The following is a 19,682-nucleotide window of genomic DNA, read 5'->3' on the forward strand; positions in this document are numbered from 1 at the left end:
TCAGACCTGGGGAGACCTTCCTGATTCTGAGTTTCCAAACCACAGAACAGCTTGTTCAGGGAGACTGTGGAAGTCATTTCTCTAGAAATCTTGACTGATTCAGGAGGTTTCTAGCTGTCAGAGGATTTAGCTATGGTTCTGCTGTATGAAGGTGGAGGCATGGATTAGGTGATTTTCAAAATACCCTACAACTTCTTGAGTTTATGAAAAGTGATATCATGCCTCCCCTTGATAGATTCCTTCACCATTTAGACAAAGAATATAAAAAGAATTAAAATAACCCAATGAATTCAGGATTGTGGAAAATGTCATTACTGGTAATGAAAATTACAGGAAGTCTTGCTGGCGCTTGCTCCCTCCCCAAAACTAACATGAGAACATGTTTTTTCTTCTGATGCAATAATTAAGTTTGCCCAAGAAAATGTCTCTGTGCGCACCTCAGGGCAGGGGCTAAATGAAGCCTTTAACTAAACGATAAATGTGATCGTCTCCATGGACTGAACCCTGCCAGGGCAGACTGGCTTCCCAAGTGGATTAATTAACTCTTAGCAGCCCTGTGCTGGGAGGCTCTACAGAAGGGATTTGAGATTCCTGAGGCCCAGAAAGATGACTTTATTAAGAAATGGAAGACATTTGGGGTGACTTCTGTAGCTGGTGGCAGCCACAGTTCTAGGATCAGAGCCTAGAAGTCAAGACCTCAAGATGGAAATAACAGTTCAAAGGCAGTCTCATCAGATAGCACTGGGAGGAAGACACAGATTGGTTCAGCACTGAGCACAGACGATGTGTCTACCCTGTGTGTCTCCCTGCTCTCAGGAGGTCGTGCTGTAGTGGAGGACAGATCTCAATGCAGGAGTCTCCCAGCTGGGTGGGGATGGGTGTGCTCAGAGCACTGACCCAGACTGGGGCTGGGATGGGTGGCATCTGGCTGGAGAGCTGAAGACTGGGAGGAAGTAAAACAGGGCTCGGAGCCAGGAAGTGGATGCACAGGCCACAGTAGAAGCAGATCATTTACTCAGTTGCAGAACACGCAATGAAGGTTTAGCCTCACTAGCAATCAATGAAACAAAAAATTAAAAGCCTCTTGCAGAGTCATTTTTCTCCTCTGGAAGAATACTCAAGGGATGAGCGGGGTGTAATGAACTGGTTCTCCCTGTCTTGAGGGTGAAAGTGTGAACCATCATGAACCTTCCAAAAAATAATTTGGCATTCTGTGTCAGGCCCAGATGTATCTTGCAACTAATTATTTTCACTCATGAGAATTTATTCCAAGAAGCAATCCACCTTCCAAAGGCTTTATGCCCTGCACTGCTATTTATAAGAGTTGTCAGCAGAAGCCAAACCCTTCTCCTGCCAGCACATAGAAATAACCTTTATGCCCCCAGCTAGGTGTACATGTATTCCATATAAGGGATATTATTAGGCTATGAATATAAAATGTATGAAGACATAAAAAATGCCAATGATACAAAAATATTAAATGTGACATGCAACATAAAAACTATATTTATTTGGGAACAACTATGTAAAAATAAAAGAGGCTGCACTGAAAAAAAAGAAATTATTCTTTGTTAAAGTTATACTACTAGCAACTATTATTTTCCTCTTTATTTTCTATATTTTCTAAATTGTCTATATGAGTATTATTTTATAATAAAAAGAGTTTGTTTTGTTTAAAGAAAAGGTTAATTCTGTTTTAGTTGCTAAATGGGAGCCATGACTCATTACTGTGGTCCTTATTTTTGTCGCAGCTGGTCAAGTGATTTTTAACAACCAGCCCCAGCCACCACCCCTACACACACAAACACACATGCCTCCTATCAGGAGAACATGCCTGTGGAATGTTGTAGAGTCACTCTGATTGAGGTAGTAGGATGACAGCAGAAAACAGTATTTCATCCCCTTTCTCTCTGGCACACGCTTGCACATGCCAGGCACTTAAAAAGGGTCTGGCTTTCAGTAAAATTGATTATTACCATTATTATTATTTAATCTTTTTTTTTTTATTTTGGAATGGAGTCTCACTCTTGCGCAGCCTGGAGTGCAGTAGTGAGATCTCAGCTCACTGCAACCTTTGCTCCTGGGTTCAAGCAATTCTCCCTCCTCAGCCTCCCAAGTATCTGGGACCACAGATGCATGACACCATGCCGTGCTAAGTTTTTGTATTTTGGGTAGAGATGGGGTTTTACCACAAAGACTGGGGTTTGCCCAGGCTGGTCTTGAACTCCTAAGCTCAAATGTTCCACCTGCCTTGGCCTCCCAAAGTGCTGGGATTACAGGCATGAGCCACCATACCCAGCCTACCATTTACTCTTAAAATGACAGCTTTACTTGCTTAAACTTAAATAATGTTTTCTTCTCTGAAGATTAAGATTACCACATTGTCTTCTAACTTTGAATGATTCTGTTGTGAAAACTGCAAGCCACTATCAGAAACTTTCTTCTTTTGCAATTCAGTTGATTGTTTTTAAACCTAGATGGCCAATGAGTTGGGACTTTTTTACATTTTAATTAAAGTATCTCCATCAGAATATCACTCATATTTTGTTGTGCTATGACCATTTTTCTGGGTCATGAAATTTTGGGTAAATTTAGATCTTTCTTTACACGAGGATAGTTTCTTCTACTATATCTTTATTTTTCAATTCTGTGTTTTCTGCTATTGTCTTCAGAAAAATCAACTATTTGTACTTGAGACAGCATTTGTCTGTCTTTCAAATCTCACTTTCTTCTTTTTTTATTTATTTATTTTATTTTATTATTATTATACTTTAAGTTTTAGGGTACATGTGCACAACGTGAAGATTTGTTACATATGTATACACTTTCTTCTTATCTGTATTAGCTCTTTACTTTTTTCCACTTCATTGTGCTTCATTTTCTCAATTCTGTCCTTTTTCTCACTGCCTATTTACTCAACAGTATCTGGTCTCTTTTTTGATGACTGTCATGTAGCTGTTCTTTCTATACAGTTTTTAATGTTATTGCTACAGATTCATTTTTTAAATCTTCTTAGTTATCTTATCATCTCTTCTTCAAGTTCTCATACCTCTTCTTTGAGCTCTCATTTCAGAGTGATGACATTTCCTCTAATTTTATTGATTTCTTGGCTTTGGGGTCTAATTTCATGTGTTGGATGTCATCATGCTCCAGGTATGTGTTTCTCATCTGCCCTTTGTCTTTACTCTTTTCCTTTTCATGTTCCTCAATACCTTCCATAGATATCATGCTGGCTTCTTGTTGATCACTACTTATCTTGGAAGGGAGTCTTTAACCCTTGCTAAGTGTTAAAGAATAGCAGATAAGTAGGCAGCTTGGTTCTGCCCTGTTGTCTGTGAATGTATTTCCATCTACATTCTTCCCTGAAAATCTGATGTTGCCAAGTCATGAGATCTTCCAAGCTTAGAGTGAAGCCCCTAATACATGGATGTATGCAGAAAATTGGTTTATTTCTATATCTCTATGCACATCTTTAGGAGTTCATGTTTCCTTTCCTTCTAGTTACCACGATCAGAATGGTAAGTCTGCTGGTTTGCCTTCCCTGTTTTGGCCCCCATGCTGGTATCCACATTTTTGCAAAGATGCATGTCCACATGCTTCCCCATGTTCTATCATTTTGCCCTGCTTCCCTACCCTCTACATGCTGTGCTGCATAAAGAACCCTCCCGTGTCCCCCAGTGTCATTCTAAAGGGGGAGTCTGGCCTTAGACCCCTCAGTTTGTGCAGCTTGCCTTTGGAAGGCCATGCATGCTTCCTCACCAATTGTGGCTCAAATGTACCTGTTTTCTAGTTTCCTCATATGTGATTTTTACTTTTCTACTCCTTTTATTTTATTTTTTCACTCTGCAGAGTTTCACTGGGGCAGCATGATGGAGCCAGGCCACCAATTCCCCTCAGTTGTTAAAGACTTGCTTTGTCCCTTGCCCAGGAGCTAGCAGCCCCATGGACAGCTTTTGTCAGGTCAGCCAGACACACATTTTGGTCTCACTTCATCACTTGCAGGCTAAACATTTGGCAATTTATTTACTGCCTTCTGACTTATCAGCCTCTCCAAGAGATCTAAAGCACTTGTCTATGCCAGTGGCTCTCAGTCTTCAGCATGAATCAGAATCACTTGGAGGACTTGTCAGAACATAGAATGCCAGGGTCCACCTAGAGTTTCTGATTCAGTAGGTCTGATCTAGGGGCTGAAAATCTGTGTTATTGACAAGTTCTCAGGAGATGCTGAGAGCTTTCTAAATGCTGCTGATTTGCACAGCATGCTGCTTTATACAGACTACAGAACCAGGCACACACCTTTCTGCAGGCAACTCTGCATCCCTCCATCTGCGGAAGAATCCAGGGCAAGCACAGGGAAGGACTTCATGCTTTCTGAAGCTAAAGTTAGTAGGAGAGACTATCCAAGTTTCTTAACTTCAGGTGGAGAAAGGTACAACTTACTGCCAGGTACAATGCAGTGGCTAACTCTACAGCTTTTGTCATCAGGGCATAGAGAGAGGCACTAGGATAATAGAAGCTGGAAGGAATGGTAGAGGCCTAAGGGGAAGTGTGGTGGAGGGTGGGGGAATAGAAAAGAAGAAAGACATTCCTGATGGACCGAGAAGCAGTGTATAGAATATGGCAAAAAAGATCGAGCCATGGGCAGTTCTGTGGATTGAATTGTGTCCCCCTGAAAGATATGTTGAGGTCCTGACCCCTGGTACCTGTGAATGTGACCTTTTTGGAAATAAAGCCTTTGCATATATAGTTAAGTTATAAATTAAAATGAGGTCATGCTGAAGTGAAGTGGGCCCCTAATCCAATATGTTGAATGTTCTTATAAGAGGAGAAGCATACACAGACCCACACACAGAGGAGAAAGCCACGTGAAGACACAGACACACAGAGGGAAGACAGCCTTGTGGTGATGGAGACAGAGACTGGAGTTACACAGCTGCACACCAAGGAAGGCCAAGGATCACTGGGAACCACAAGAAATGAGGAGAGAAAGCATGGCCCTGCTGATGCCTTGATTTTGGACTTCTGTCTTCCTGAACTGCGAGAGCATCCGTTTCTGTCGGTTAGCCGTCAGTCTGTGGTACTTTGTTATGTTTGCCCTAGGCAACAAATAGAGGCAGGGGCTGTTGATTTTCTTCTTTCAAAAGCAGTAGAGTAGAATAGCAATCCCACCTGTTCGCCTTTGAAATGGGTCAGCTGAGCCTGAGAGGGGCCTGAGCACTTTCCTCAAGGTCAATGCTCTCATGCTGCTGGTCCTCTTCACACAATGTCCTGCCTTGGCCTGCTGGGTTCATGTGTGTGAGTGAGGTCCCACATCTGCATCATGTCAAGTTCTTGGTGGACCAGGTCCTGTTCATGGTGATGACAGCAGCGGTCAGTCGGCTCTACTAAAAGGGATGGGACTCCAGCTTTCTTGAAGGAAGCCCATGTTATAAGAATTAGAAAGGAGTCTGCTAGGCCTGATTCTGAGCCCTCACAGAGGGTTCTGTCCCATCTAGACTCTTTTTACTTTATGATGCAGAAGGGTCGGGAACTCTTCCCGTTAGGCATTTAGATTGCAACTCTGCCTTCATAATCTCAAGGTTGTTTACACTTGGACCACCTGATACTTGTATCTTTTCATTAGCCTTTTTTATGCAATAAAGCCCATAATATGATACTGCTCACATCCACCAAGAGGGCTATAATTAAAAAGACAGATAATAGAAAGTGTTGGTGAGCACATGAGAAAATGGAACCCTCATACACTGTTGTGGGAATATGAAATGGTGCAGGCTTTTTGGAAAACAGTCCAGCAGTCCCTCAAAATATTAAACATAGAATTACCCCATGACTCAGCAATGCTATTCCTAGGCATACAGTCAAGAGAAATGACAACATATGTGCACACAAAAATTTGAATATGGATAGACATAATAGCATTATTCAGAACAGCCAAAAAGTGGAAACAAACCAAGTATGCATCAATAGATGAATGGATTAAAAACGTGGTATATCCATACAATAAAATATTCAGCTATAAAAATAATGAGGTACTGATACATATTACAACATGGATGAACCTTGAAAATAGTACACCAAGTGAAGACATCCAGGCACAAAAGGCCTCATATTGCAGAATTCCACTTATAGAAAATGTCCAGAATAAGCAATTCCATAGAGACAAAAATAGATTAGATTGTCAGTGGAGTGGGGAGGGGGCAATGGAGAGTGAATGCTAATGGGTATGGGGTTTCATTCTGAGGTGATAAAAATATTCTGGAATTATATAGGAATGATACTTGTAGAACATTGTAAACATACTATGAACCACTGAATTGCACACTAAAAGAATGAATTTCATGAATGTGTGAATTGTATATATATGACACCAAAAAACTCAAAGAAGCAATCTATGCACTTAAGGATCAAACAAAGAGAAATGACTGTGACTTCATATGGACCTGATGTATTTTCTTTTCCCTGAACTTCTCATCGGAGAATTTTCATGTCTACTCCAAGTTCCTCTATAGGAGAATATTAGGTTAAGATCTACATCTGATGATAATTACCTTGGCAATCCTGTGCCCCAGGGGTTGGAGCAAAGAGAGGCTAGAGACAGTGAAAACAATAGAAAAGAAATGGATACAGGAAATAAAGAACCAAGAACTAGGATGGCTATAATAAAAAAAGACAATTAATAATAAGACTTCCCAGGATTGGGTAGTTGCTTTGACAATAGGATAGCAGGACACATGGAAACAAGGGACCAAGTTGTCTGAGGAGCATTTCAGGATATATTGATGGCAAGCAAACCGCTGCAGGGACCAGGGGGTCTGCCTGGACATGACCCCAGAACCCTCAGGGCACTGGGAGGCCATGCTTAACAGTCTGAAGTAGTGAACCAGATGAGCCCCATTGGCCATTTTGGCTCCACAGTGAGTTTAACAAGGAGAAGTAAAGGTCTCCAGATCACCCCAATATTAGCCCCTCTCTTTCTACCTGTGGAAGCTGGTCTCTAAAGATGGCTCCCTAATGAACCATGTTTCCCAATATTCACATCCTCATTTAATCCACAATAAGCATGACATCAGATAAGAAGTACAACTCTTCTGAAGCCACCATGATGTGAGGAAGCTCAGGCTACCCACACAAAGAGGTCATCTGTAGAGAAAGATTCCCAGCCAGCCAAGTTGGCCAGCCATCTCAGTCTGGGCACTTGGCATGAGAGAGAAAATGCTGTCTTGAGTGTCCAGCCTAGGCGAGATTTCGAATGACTCTAGTCCTAGGTGACATCTGATTGCTGAGTCCCGTAAACCCTCAGGATTGTGAAAGAGCATGATAAATTATTTTGAGTGTCTAAGTTTTGGGGTAGTTTATCACACAGAAATACATGAAACATTAACTCAAGAAGCCATATGAGGCCACCCTCTCTGCAGACACAGGGACCACTTCTCTGGATTGGAGCAAGAGGAGAGTGTCACCTCTGCCCCCGGCCCTCACTGGCTTTAGTAGTTCTGCCAGATGTGGATACCAAGGATACCAACCTCTCCCCACTTTACTCTTGCCCACGGAAGTCAGAGAGGTTCCAAACAGCTCTTCCAGGCACGGAGCCCTGGAGCCTCCTGGGGTTGCCTGCTGCTGACTGCTAGTTTCCCTGGCAGTACCCAGTGATATGGGCAATGACCAGGGCCCTGCCATGTGTTTCCTGGCTGAGTCTCCCTTTCTCCACCCCGGACCTCTGAAATGTCCTGCTGCTGCCCATCCCAGGCATGGTGAGGCTTCCCCGAGGGAACCTGGGAAAGATCTAGAAAGGGCAGGGGCTCAAGGAATCCATGCCAGCAAACCCCCAGGCCATACTGGAGCCCACCTTGTGCGGTGACTCTCCCTGGTGTTGACTTAGGGCTCTGTGTACTTTATATTTTATGACTGGTGGCCCAGGGCAGAAGCTGCAAATAGTGTCTAGGCTGGCAACAGGGGGCAGCACTTCCTGGGCTGCCATCCAGGGGAGGGAAATCATGTGTCAGGGGTTTAATTCTTCTGTATGGTGTCAGTTTTCTCCTCCTCCTCCTCCTCCTCTTATATCAGGGTCGAAACAGAGCTTGATCCTTGGGGTGAAATTCCATTCTTACCCCCATGCCCAGCCCTTTTGTAAGACACACAAGCTCACTCCGTGGATGAAGCACTTTAACCCCATCAGGGGCACCGTGTGGCTTTTCACGGAAGTGACCAGTGTGCTCCCTGAGTTTGAGGGCCAGGGCTCCATAACAGTACCAGGATGTGACAGTGAGACAGGGGTCAGCCATGGACATTGCTGGTGTTTGGGCCCACAGTTTCCAGACTGGCTGGCACATTCAAGGGACTCCAGCCAGTGTTACCGATGGTTGTCACCTGTGTTGAGTGTAATACTAGCCAAGACCACCCCCAGATGGTTCAGAGTTGGAGGAGGTAGGGTAGGGGCTTGGGCAGGAAATGGTAAGTACAGTTTATTAATGAAACCTGTTTTAAAATATCCACTCACTCATTAAATATCACACACACACACACACACACACACACACACACACACTCCTGAATGATTTGAGTACATTTAGGCAAAACAGGATTACTTTTCATGTTTCAACAGCTGAAGATTGGGGCAGTTGTGGTTCCACACATAACTGCAGCCTCCGGGCTTGCCCTGGGCTAGGGATCTGACCAGCAGCTCACCCTTGACCTGTGCTCCCCTTGGACCAGTGGCCTGAAAAGGAGCTGCCCAGTGACAGCCAGCAAGGAGGCCATGGGGCCAGCTGGAATTGGCCTTCTTGTCTGCCCCCAGGCCATTCCCAGAGCCCACTCTGCACCACCCAGGAAGGTTTTGCTTTCTCCAACTCCTTTCCTTGCTCCCCAGTCCTGGCTCCAATTCCACACTAAGGATGGAAAAACGGAGTCACATGGAAGTGAAGCCATTTAACTGGGCATTCAGCAAACAGCAAGAGAGCCAGGTCAGAACCCAGGAGGAGATCTGTTGCCCAGAGGCATGAAGAGGGCTTGGGGATGCTGGCAAAGCCTGGGACAGGGCACATTAATACATGGAGGGTGTCACCTGCGAGGATGGGTGGGCTTGAGCTGGGGCAAATGGCAGAAAACTCGTGTCGTGTGAGCAAAGTCACTTGACTGCTTCAAGCCTGTCTCTTCACCTTTAACACAGGCAGGTAAAGAATATTCTGCTTCTCACTAACCTCTTGCTTACTCGCTGGCAAATCATGTAGATGTGAAAAATGTTTTGCGAAGTGCATTTGGGAAATAGCCTCACCATTATCACTGCTGCCAACAGCAATACCAGATAGAGCCTGAAGAAAACCCTCAACCCTGCCTTCCACACTCTACCTGGCAAGTCCAGCAAGAGACAGATGCCAGGTGCTGCCCTCTTGTCCTTGCCTCTCCTGTGCATGCACAACTAACTCCTCACGTCAAGAGGTGGCATCTAATCTTTGCCCCCTTAAAAATGGGCTGACCTCATTAACTTCCTGGCTAATACAGTGCGATGGAAGTAACATTCTAGGACATCTGAGGCTGAGTTGAAAGAAGCCTTATAGCTTCCACCTGGGCCTCTTGCCAGCTCACCCTTGGGATGTTCTCTGGGCCTCTTGCTTCCACGTTGTGGGAAGCCCAAGCCACACTGAGAGACCACAGATAGGTGTTGACATGCCAGTTGAGTATCCAGCCAAAGGCCAGCATCAGCAGCCATCTGTGTCTTGCCTAGCAGAGCCCTCACATACTGTAGCCCAGGCACCCTATGACTGCAACTGCATGAGGACTCTTAACACAAACCACCCAGCTGAGCCCAGTCAATACAAAACATAACCAGGAGAAATAATCATAAGTTGTTTCTTCAAGCCACTAAGTTTTGGAGTAGAATGTTTAACTGAAACAGCTCTTCACAGACCTGCAGGCACCTGAACCCCCTGGTTCTCCTGCCTGAGACCCTACACTTTGAACAGCTTCATCTTCTTCCTAGTGTGGCCTTCTCTCTCATCCTGTCCCTTGGTATCATCATTCCCTACTTTCTGCTGTTAATAAGCCCAGGGTCACTCTCAATTTAAGGCTTTTCCTACAGGTTCCCTACAGGGACGAAGATGAGACAACAGAGCGACAAACACAGGAAAGTGACTTCAGGTGGGGCTCTGCACATGCCATTCTTAGCCTGAGGTGGTGACTTCCTCTTTAGAGGACACCAGGAGAAGCGCCTGAAGATTTGCAAACCAAACTCTGAGTTCTTTCTGATCTTCACCCCCTAAATCCTTGCCCCAGAGCCATATATTTGGGCAATGTGGGTGAGATCCTGTGAAGCTTTGTCGGGAGGTCACGAGCTTTCTAGCCTCCCATGTCCATCTTCTAGCCAGGGGACCACAGTGCTTGTCCCCTCTGCCACATTGTCTCACCTTTGACCTTCACTGCCCTGTCCCAGGCCAATGGACAAAATGATGCCATTCAGAGGAAGGACTCTGCCAGTGAGCTTTCTGGCTCCAACATCTGTGAAAGAGCCACAGCTCCCAGGGCTTATCAGCCACTTTCAGTGTGAGCATGCCTGTCAAACATCCCAGGCACAGGAGGCGCTAGGCTGAAAGGTAAGCTGCTTGCTTAAGGGAGGTGGGTGGTCTCCAGTAGGACTTTCAGATTAACCTGAGCCCTCACTCTGAAAATACCAAGGGGGAAAGCTTAGGGCACCAATCAAGATAAGAACAAGCCAGGTGTGAGGTCCCCTTTGATTCAGGATCCCCTAGGGCAAGCAGGAGGGAAGGAGAAGGAGGGTAGAATTCTTTCTGGCTCCAGCCAGAGACCAGAGAGGCAGGATTTATTCTCACTCATAGGTGGGAATTGAACAATGAGAACACATGGACACAGGAAGGGGAACATCACACTCTGGGGACTGTTGTGGGGTGGGGGGAGGGGGGAGGGATAGCATTAGGAGATATACCTAATGCTAAATGACGAGTTAATGCATGCAGCACACCAGCATGGCACACGTATACATATGCAACTAACCTGCACATTGTGCACATGTACCCTAAAACTTAAAGTATAATAATAACAAAAAAAAAAAAAGAAAGAAACAGAGGTCTCCTGCAGCCCCTGCATAACATTTCTCAGGAGAATGATTTGGAAGCCCCTGCATTGTCCCATACGCCCTCGAGAAAGCCACAGAAAGGTTTGGCCTTAATGCTGGACCCTCAGCTGGGAAAGCTCAGAGCCTGACTTCTCACAAGATTCTAACTAGCCTCTGCACACGAGGCTCCTTTCTTCTGAGAAACAAAATTGTGGTGCTCCATGGGTCCCCCAGGAAAAGCCACAAAGTGCTTTACTTCTAGCAAAGCACTTTACGGCTTTTCCTGGGGTAAAAGGTCTTGCTAGAAGTCTCTGACACATAGGAAAACTTACATATTGGGGCTTTTGGGGTTTCAAAACATAACATTCCTTTTAGGCATCCATTAGGAGGGACAAGCAGTAGCCCTACTTATGGGTGGCAAGATGTCACCTTCATTCTGGCAAAGCTGATTGAAGAATGCAGCATTAGATGTGCAGCTATACAGACCTGCCAGGTAGACAGATCTCCTCCTCCAACCCCACATGGCCAAGAGTGTTCTCTGCAGGGCAAGTGATCCCGACATGGGACAGAAATCTGAGCACAGCCTGTAATTTGGCTCTGAGCCACATGGGGCTCAGGATTCCTCAGCCACAGTATTCCAGAGAGATCTGGGGCACACAGAGGCTTCAGAGGTTAATGGGGGATTCCTTTTCCATAGAGACATGGAGTCGGGGGAAGGAAGACCTCCCCACCAGCAAGCAAAGAACAAGCCAAGGAAAGCCAGAAGGTTTCAGGGAACTCAGCTTGCTAGGTTTTCAATGTCTTCTCATACCCTCAGGAGTGACAAGATGCGGGAGTGGAAGGACCGTGACCCTGGGGACCCCAAATGGAGCAAATGGCTTCCTAAAGCCCCAGCTTTTGCATCTGTAATGAGCAGTGACAGCTCCCACCTCATGAGAATGCCGTGGGGTTAATGAAGCTGGGTGACCAGCTATTCCAGTTTGAGTGTCCCAGAAAACTCCTCCATTGTTGACAAACTGAGAAGCTGACTCTCCCACTGGAGGCACCAGGTACAAGGTAGGTGCTCAGGAATTATTTCCCTCCCTCTTGACTCACACTTCTCTTCTGAGAGTGAAAGTTGGAGTATTCTTCAAGCAAGAAGCTGAGACAGCCCTTCACGTACCCTGGGGAGGGGAAGAGAGCAGGGCCTTTGGATTTAGAGGTCCCTCTGGAGCCTGGAATAGACAGACTTGCATTTCAGAGGAAACTTCCCATGGCATCGCCCCAGGATCATCAAAAGGAATCAGCTTCTGGCACTAGCTGTGTCTCTGAGAAAATGTCTGGATTCCTTTGGAAGGTGCCAGGGAGCAGTGAGGGATCATGGGCGTGGGACTCTAACTGCATCGCCATCTCAGCTGCTGGCCCCACATGCTCCAAGCCCACCTTTCTGCCACTTGCAGCCAAGTGCAGCACCAGAACCCACACCCACCCTCTGTGTGGCCACAGCCCCGGGTGTCCATGAAGCCAGAATGTCTTTGGAAAATGGGAACCTTTGGGAAGTACACAGTCATTGTCTAGAAGTCCAGTGGCTGTTCTGACAGGCATCTCCCCATTAGATAAATTCCCCCATTGAGCGACTGACTTTTGGTGGAGTTAACCACCTGTGTTCCATGAAAGGAGAGTAAGCCTGTCCCTTTCCAGAAATGCAGAAACCTAAGGAGTTGAGATCTCGGCTTCCATGGAGGAAATGCCTCAGGGGCAGCTGAGGGAGGGCCATTACCATTTGCAGTTGAGAAGGTCTGGAAGCCCCGCCACACATGCAAAGCCCTGCCATGGAAATCTTGAGTGTCCCTGAACAACCACAACCAGTGGGGGGCTTCTTTGTGTCTGTGAGAATGTTATAACCTATTGAGGCTCTCTTTTGCTGCCAGAAGTTCAGGGTGAACTCCGGGGCTCAATTATAGCATCTATGTTGGTCTTTGCAGTGGATGGATATGTGTCTTATTTACCTAGCCTTGCTTCTCCACTTTTACTTTCTGTTTTCCTTGGTCTGGTTTGTTATTTTTGTGGCATCATAATGGACATGTCTTTGTTAGAAGATGGTGGGGAGTAGAAGAAAGCCATACTTTCTCATCTCTGAAATGCTCAATTATGGTGGGTGTTGCTTGTGCCCAAACAAGCTTGTTGTTCTAAGTCCTGCACTGGAGAAACCCAGTTCTACCAGCATCCAGGGTACTGGGAGCATCAAACCTCAACCCCAGGAGATAATGTGAAAGTTAGTAAATAGCAGTCCAGCCTTTGGGGCTAAAAACATCAGGATTCCAGTGAGATTTGGGGCAAATCAAAATGGTCTATCATCTTCTCTACCTTAGCTTTCCCCACCTGTAAAATGGGTATAATATTACCTCCCGCACCATCAAGGGGCTGAGATGAGCCACATACACTGTGTGGCATGGCACCAGTAATAACCCCCATGACTTCCCCAGCCCCTTGCATATGGGGCTCAGACATTGCACTAAAGGGCTTACCTGTAACTGCTCTGCAGGGTGCTCATATACAGCCCCGGGAGACGCAGGGGGCCAGTAGTGCAGCTGGGAAGTCTGCATCTGAATTTGAACCCAGGCCCTGCCTCCTTTCAAGCCCATGATCTGGATTGCTGAGTCCCACTTCTCCCTGTGGGCCATGTTCTGCTAAGCCTGTGCTGCTTCTCCCACCTGAGGGTGGCCTGGGTTTCCGGTTCCACAGCAAGCAAGTGGGGCCTGCCCTGCCTCTCCCTCTTCAGTCCCACGGAGCCCAACAAGGTGGCAGGTTGGGTTGATTCTCTGATCAGGGCAAAAAGTGGAAGGGAATAGGGAGAGTGGCAAACTTAGCTCAGGCCAAAGCCAGGGACTCTGTGCAGGAGTTGAAAACGTGTGTTTCCTAGACACTCTGCTCCAGCAGCTCAGAGAAAGGAGGCCCTATTGGGCCCCAGAGAAGAAATGTAAAATCAGAAGGGGCCTCCTAGCGTGTCACAGCCAGCCTTCTGCCTCAAGGAAAGCCACAGCCAAGGGCAGGCAAGACACTTAGGCCTCTGTTGACTTACGGGCCCCCGGGGAGTGGGTTGCACCATATTGTGCAAGCCAGTTGCAGCCTCTCATCACTGGTAATGAAGCAAAGTGAAAAAGTGGCCCTTCTTCCTAGCACAGCCATCCTCCTCCCTAGAGTCTCCAGGGAGCCTGGGAGCCTGCTGGCCTTGGCCAGCCAAGCCCCAGTGTGCTCCAGACAGGGCAATGCCTGGCCACCCAGGAGGCTCTCGTATGTGGTGGACACTTCTGGGATGAGGCCCAGCATCTGCTTCATGGCTGATTTATGGCTTCTGATCAGGCTCAATAAAAACCCAGATGGCATCTCACCAGTGTGACACCTGAAGGAGGACCACGCCTCTCAGGACCCTCAGAAAGTTGCTCTGGCATTGGCCACAGGCAGGAACAGACAAGAGCAGAGGGGCTCACTCAGCCTGGAGCCTCACCCAGAGACCCCTGATCAGAAATTTGGAAATCCCTGCCCCACAAACTAACCCTTGCCTTCGACACTTGAATTCCAGTCCAGTTTTCTTCCTCGGCCTCTTATAGCAATAGCTTATGATTCTGCACTGCAGCTCTGTAATGCCTCCAACATGCCTTCATGTCCTCCCCACCGCTCTGTGAAAAATGCGTTAGCATTCCAGATTAACAGAGGAGAAAACCGAAACAGGTCAGCAGGAGTCCAGCCTGCCTTGTGCTTCAGGATAAGGGCAGGTCTGTAGGACCACCACGTGGGGAACACCAGGGGCTTCCGGTCCAGGCAGAAAGGCGGGGCTCCCTCCTGACCCCACCCCATGCATGAAGATGAGGTGGCGAAGTGTCCAGAACAATGCAGATGTGTCATGCAGGAGCCGGCTGACCTGCCTGAAGCTGGGGGGCTGGGCCTGCCCCTCCTACATGTGGGGTGCTGGCTCTTCGGGCGAGCCTCACCTGCCACTCATGTTCTCATCCAAATGAGAATGGTCTGGATTAATGCCTGGCCCAAATGACTCACCGCTTAGACTCAGACCCAGGATAGACATGTTTCTCCATCTCTTTGAATGTTGAGTCCAAACCCTGGCCACCCGACCCACTCACCTCTGGGTGGCCTTAGAACTCCCTGACTGCTGAGCCTATTTTCTTCTGGAAAGTGGAGAACACAGAGGTGCCGTGGGATTCAGTGAGACGGGGGTGTGAAAACACCCCAGGTGTTCTGGGCACAAGCTCACCTGGCAGGTGCCTGTCCCTGTGCCCTCTGGTGGGGTGGCAGGGGGAGGGTGCGGTGGGGGGAGGCTCAGCAGCTGGAGCACAGGATGCGCCAGCCCTGCAGTGTGCCTGGGCTGCTTCTGCCCCAGAGCACTGGCCTCCTCCACTCACAGTCGTGTCCCAGGGTGCCCACCAGCCCCAGCCTCTTAGGGAAAAACACACTGATGAAGCTTCTGAGCACAGTGCAGACCTGCTGAGGCACAGCCAGCCAGCAGCACTGCAGAGCTGGTGCTTTGGCAGGAGGGAGGCCTGGCTGCAGCCTGAACAGTGCAGATGTCATTGGAAACAAATGCCCAGACCACAGTGTCTCTTCCCATTCCCACCAGGCTCCCTGGACATTTTCAAGAATCCCCCAGGACAATGTAAGCCTGATGGGACATAAATGATTCTTGGGGATGGCCCTGAAGCTTGAGCCTCAGCCCCAGGACCCCCACACCCACCCCACCACAGCCTGACCCATTATGCAGGGTCTTCCTCCCATTGCCAGGCTGTGTGACACCCAAGCACATTCCTTAACTGCTCTGTGTCTTAGTCCTCCTCATAAATGGAGATCACAATAGTCCACCCTCATGAGGATGAAGCTGTGTGGATGAAGCAAAGGGATTAGCATGGAGTGTTCAGAACAGCTCCTCCCGCACCAGGCAAACCAGCACCCAACCCTGAGTCACGAGTGACAATGCTGTCTCCCTTGCCATCGGCCTGACTTTCACCCCATCTTCATTGATGAGCACATGCTCTGTGCCAGGCAGTGCCAGGCGAGGGGATAACTGGGCTCAGTCCCTCATAGCTTTGAGAAGACCTGTAGTATAGGCCATGCTGCTGCTGTAGGTGCCTCAAGGTGCAGCCAAGGCACAAGTGAGGGCACATGAGCTGGGAGTCGAAGGCTGAGGCAGCTTCTGCAAGGCTGAATTTGTCTTAAAGCTTCACCACCTAGGATTTTGCCCCCCAAAAAACTGAAGCTGTGCAGTTGCAAAGGCAGGCCTCCCAAATGGTGGCATTTCAGGCTTTGGAAGACAGGCAGGGAGAGGCCCTGGGGTCAAGACTTCCTCCTGGCCCCACTTACACCACACCCTTCAGGGACTCGGACCTATATGGAGTTGACCCTGGGACAGAGCCTCCTAGGTTCTTCCCAAAGTCTCACATCCTGCCTGTGTTTGGGAAGGGAGCTGGGCTGAGGCCCAGAACTCATCCACCCTGACTCCCTTCCCAAGTCCAGTCCCCAAGCCTAGGAGGCCCACAAGGGGATGTCAAAGGTCTCCCACTACCCACTGCCCACAGCTGCCTCTCCATGCACATGCACACACCCATGCACACACTATCCCATGCTTTTCTACCTCAGATGCACTTTCAGGGATATAACATTGAGCAGGCATCCCTGGGAATCCTGCAACCGTGGTGTCAGCCAGAGCATGCCTCAGGCAGACTAGGTGGTAAAGGAGGCTCTAGATCACCCAGCTTCCTCACTCCCTCCCCAGAAGGCAGGAATATGGTCCCCATTGAGGATGCAGCTCTCTGTGTTCTGGCCTAGTCATCACCTTCCTACTCTGAAGACTGACCTGGCCGGTGGGCTTGGTGACAGCTGCATGCCAGGTGCTGAAGCTGCATTGGCCCCAGTGCTGCCAGGCTGCCCCAGCTGGGTTCTCTGGGCAGCAGAGGGTGAGACAGATTTAAGAGTGCAAATGGTGTCTTGGGAGTACCACACAGGAAGGAAAGGCAGGGAGTGGGACGGGGCAGGGAGTGTCCAGGCTGGGATGCAGCTGAGACAAGGTCTCTGCCAGGACCAGAGAGCTCTGCAGCAGGGATTTGCCATTAGGAGAGGCGCTGCTGGACAGGAACAGCTATGCCCTTGTACCACCACTCTGCTCAGTCAGTGCCTGGGGGTGGCCCCAGGAGGAGTGGCGTTGGCTAGGAAGCACCCAGAGGTTAGCCCTCAGCTAACCACACCCCGCATCTGGGCAGCAGCAAGTACTTTCTTACCGGGATCCTAGGCAGTGAGTCTCTGTGCCTGCCATCTGGGTCTTACAGGAAAGGCAAGATGCGGTTACAATGATAGTGCCTAGTACCCAGGGGCTGGTGCACCAGGGTCCTATGGAGATGTGGGACACACCTGTCCTGGAAGGTCAGGGATAGGGCTTAACAGTGGATGAGAGGCACCCAGCAGTGGAGGAGGGTGCCCATGGCCAGGGATCTGCACAGGAAGGGTCAGGAGATGATGGCCAGTCATGGCAACACCCTGGACTATGGCTGCAGGACTGAAGCCCAGACCCTGGCCCTTTCCAGATGCTGCCAGGAGCTTTCTTGTTCTGTCGTTTCTCTTCTGTCTGAAACCATAAGAGCCTGGTGCCATCCCAAGTTCACTTCCTCTCTATCCCCATCATCTCTATTTGGAATGTGGAACCAGAACACACTGGCCCCACAGAGGGCCTCTCATTTCTTGAAACAGCCCAGGCCTTTTCTGCCCAGCCCAGGGGTGCTCATTATGGAGGCAGAGATGGTGACGGGCGAGTTACCAACTAAACCCAAACCACCCTGGTCATGTGCAGCAGGAGGAGTTGTTGTTTTTGGCCTCAGGAGCCAGCTCAAAACCAGGGGTGATTTTGATCATATGCAGCTGTCGCAGGCCCATGTACTCCAGTTCTGCAGGCCCAGTTCAGTGAGCAAAGGGTTCGAGCTTCGGCCTGAGGGGCAGAGGGAGGCAGGGCTGGAAGGACAGGCCTCGCTGGGCCTATGCCGTACCCTGGACGGCACTACCCTTGGCTGCTCTAGGAAGGAGGAACCTGAGGGTGTGCACACAGCCCCTCAGAGAAAATCCTCATCTCCTTCTCCCAGAGTGGTGTTGGGCCCAGGCCCGGCCCCAGACTGAGGGTGGGAACAGTTCAGCCCCGAGATCCACCCGCGTCAGGCACAGCCAGGCTGCTTGGATGCTACTGCTTCTCTCCCCTCTACTCTAATTCGATTCCCTTGGGAGCCCACAAAGTTGGAACAAGAGTTATTTTCAAATAAGAATCTTTTGCTTACCAAGTATAAGCTTCCATTCCATTAGAAAAAAATACAGGGCTCCTTCCATGAAATTTCCATTGGAAACCTGGCCTCTATTTTGAAGCAAAAGCATCTTAAGAAACTGAGTTCCCTGACTCTCTCTCGGCTCTGCCCCATCTCAGCAGGCTGACACTGGTTCCCAGCAGCCCCTCACATGCTGCTGTATGGGCACTACTCCTGGGGGCTTGTCAACACGTGCATTTGGTTTAGGAGCTTGGGGTGCCGAGACCCTGCAGATCTAACAAACTCTCAGCCAGCAAGCCAAGACCTACCAAGCTCTCGGTTAGATCTACCAATCTCTCAGTTAGATCAACAAGCCCTCGGGCAATGCCTATGATGCTGCTTCACTGGCTGCACAGTCACAGGGACCTCCCCAGAACTGCTGTGCAAAGGGTCAACTTCCCAGACCCCCAGAGGCCAATGTCTTCATGGTGCTCCTGGTGGAGCCACCAGCTGCTCCCAGCCCGGCTGCCACACAGAGAGTACGGCAGGTAGCACATGCTGGGAAGGGTCACCCACCTCCAGGCTTCACCAGACCATGGGAGACTCCAGGTTGGCAAAGTGAGCCAGGGAGAGGAGAGAGGAAGAGCAAGGACAGGGCCAGAGAAAACCTAACATCTAAACTACCAGCAGAGAAAAGGTGCCTGCAAAGGAAACGGAGAAGAAGCATGCTGGGAAATGTAGGGAGCACCTGCAAGGGACGTGTCACTGTGGAAACCAAGGAGGAAGTGGTTCACACTCCAGTGTTGCAGAGAATCCCTGAGAGCTTAATGCTGGAGGATGCTCCTTGGATTGAGTTCAGCCATAAGGGGCTCAATCATTGGGCTACAGTGGCTCACTGGGAGAATGGGGTAGAAGCCAGTGAGCAAAGGAAGGGGCTGGACATGAGGGAATGGGGCAAATTTGGGCTCCCTCTTTCTTCAAGAAGGAAGAGCAAGGCAGGAACCAGCAACCAAAAAGGGGTAAATAAAGAGGATGACAGGAGCAAAACTGTGCCACCAAAGCCCCAGCAAGTAGTCCTTAAGGGCAAGGGTACAGGGAGCCATCTTGAGGTTGACAGATGGGTTGAAGAGAGAGTGTCTGCTGCTCCCACCATGGCTTTGGGCTGGAGGTGAGGCAATGCTGAGAGTGAAGGAGGAGCGTGAGTTCTGATGGTTCTGATTCCAGACACACACACGTGGTCTGATGTTCTTCAGCAGCACCAAACAGGCCAGGTATCAGTGCTGAGAAAGGGGTGGATGGATTAATTCATGGCTGGGGTTTTGCTGGGGCCTAAACCGAAGGAAAGTAAA

Source organism: Homo sapiens, chromosome 10 (genome assembly GCF_000001405.40).
Source record: "Homo sapiens chromosome 10, GRCh38.p14 Primary Assembly".
NCBI lineage: Eukaryota > Metazoa > Chordata > Mammalia > Primates > Hominidae > Homo > Homo sapiens.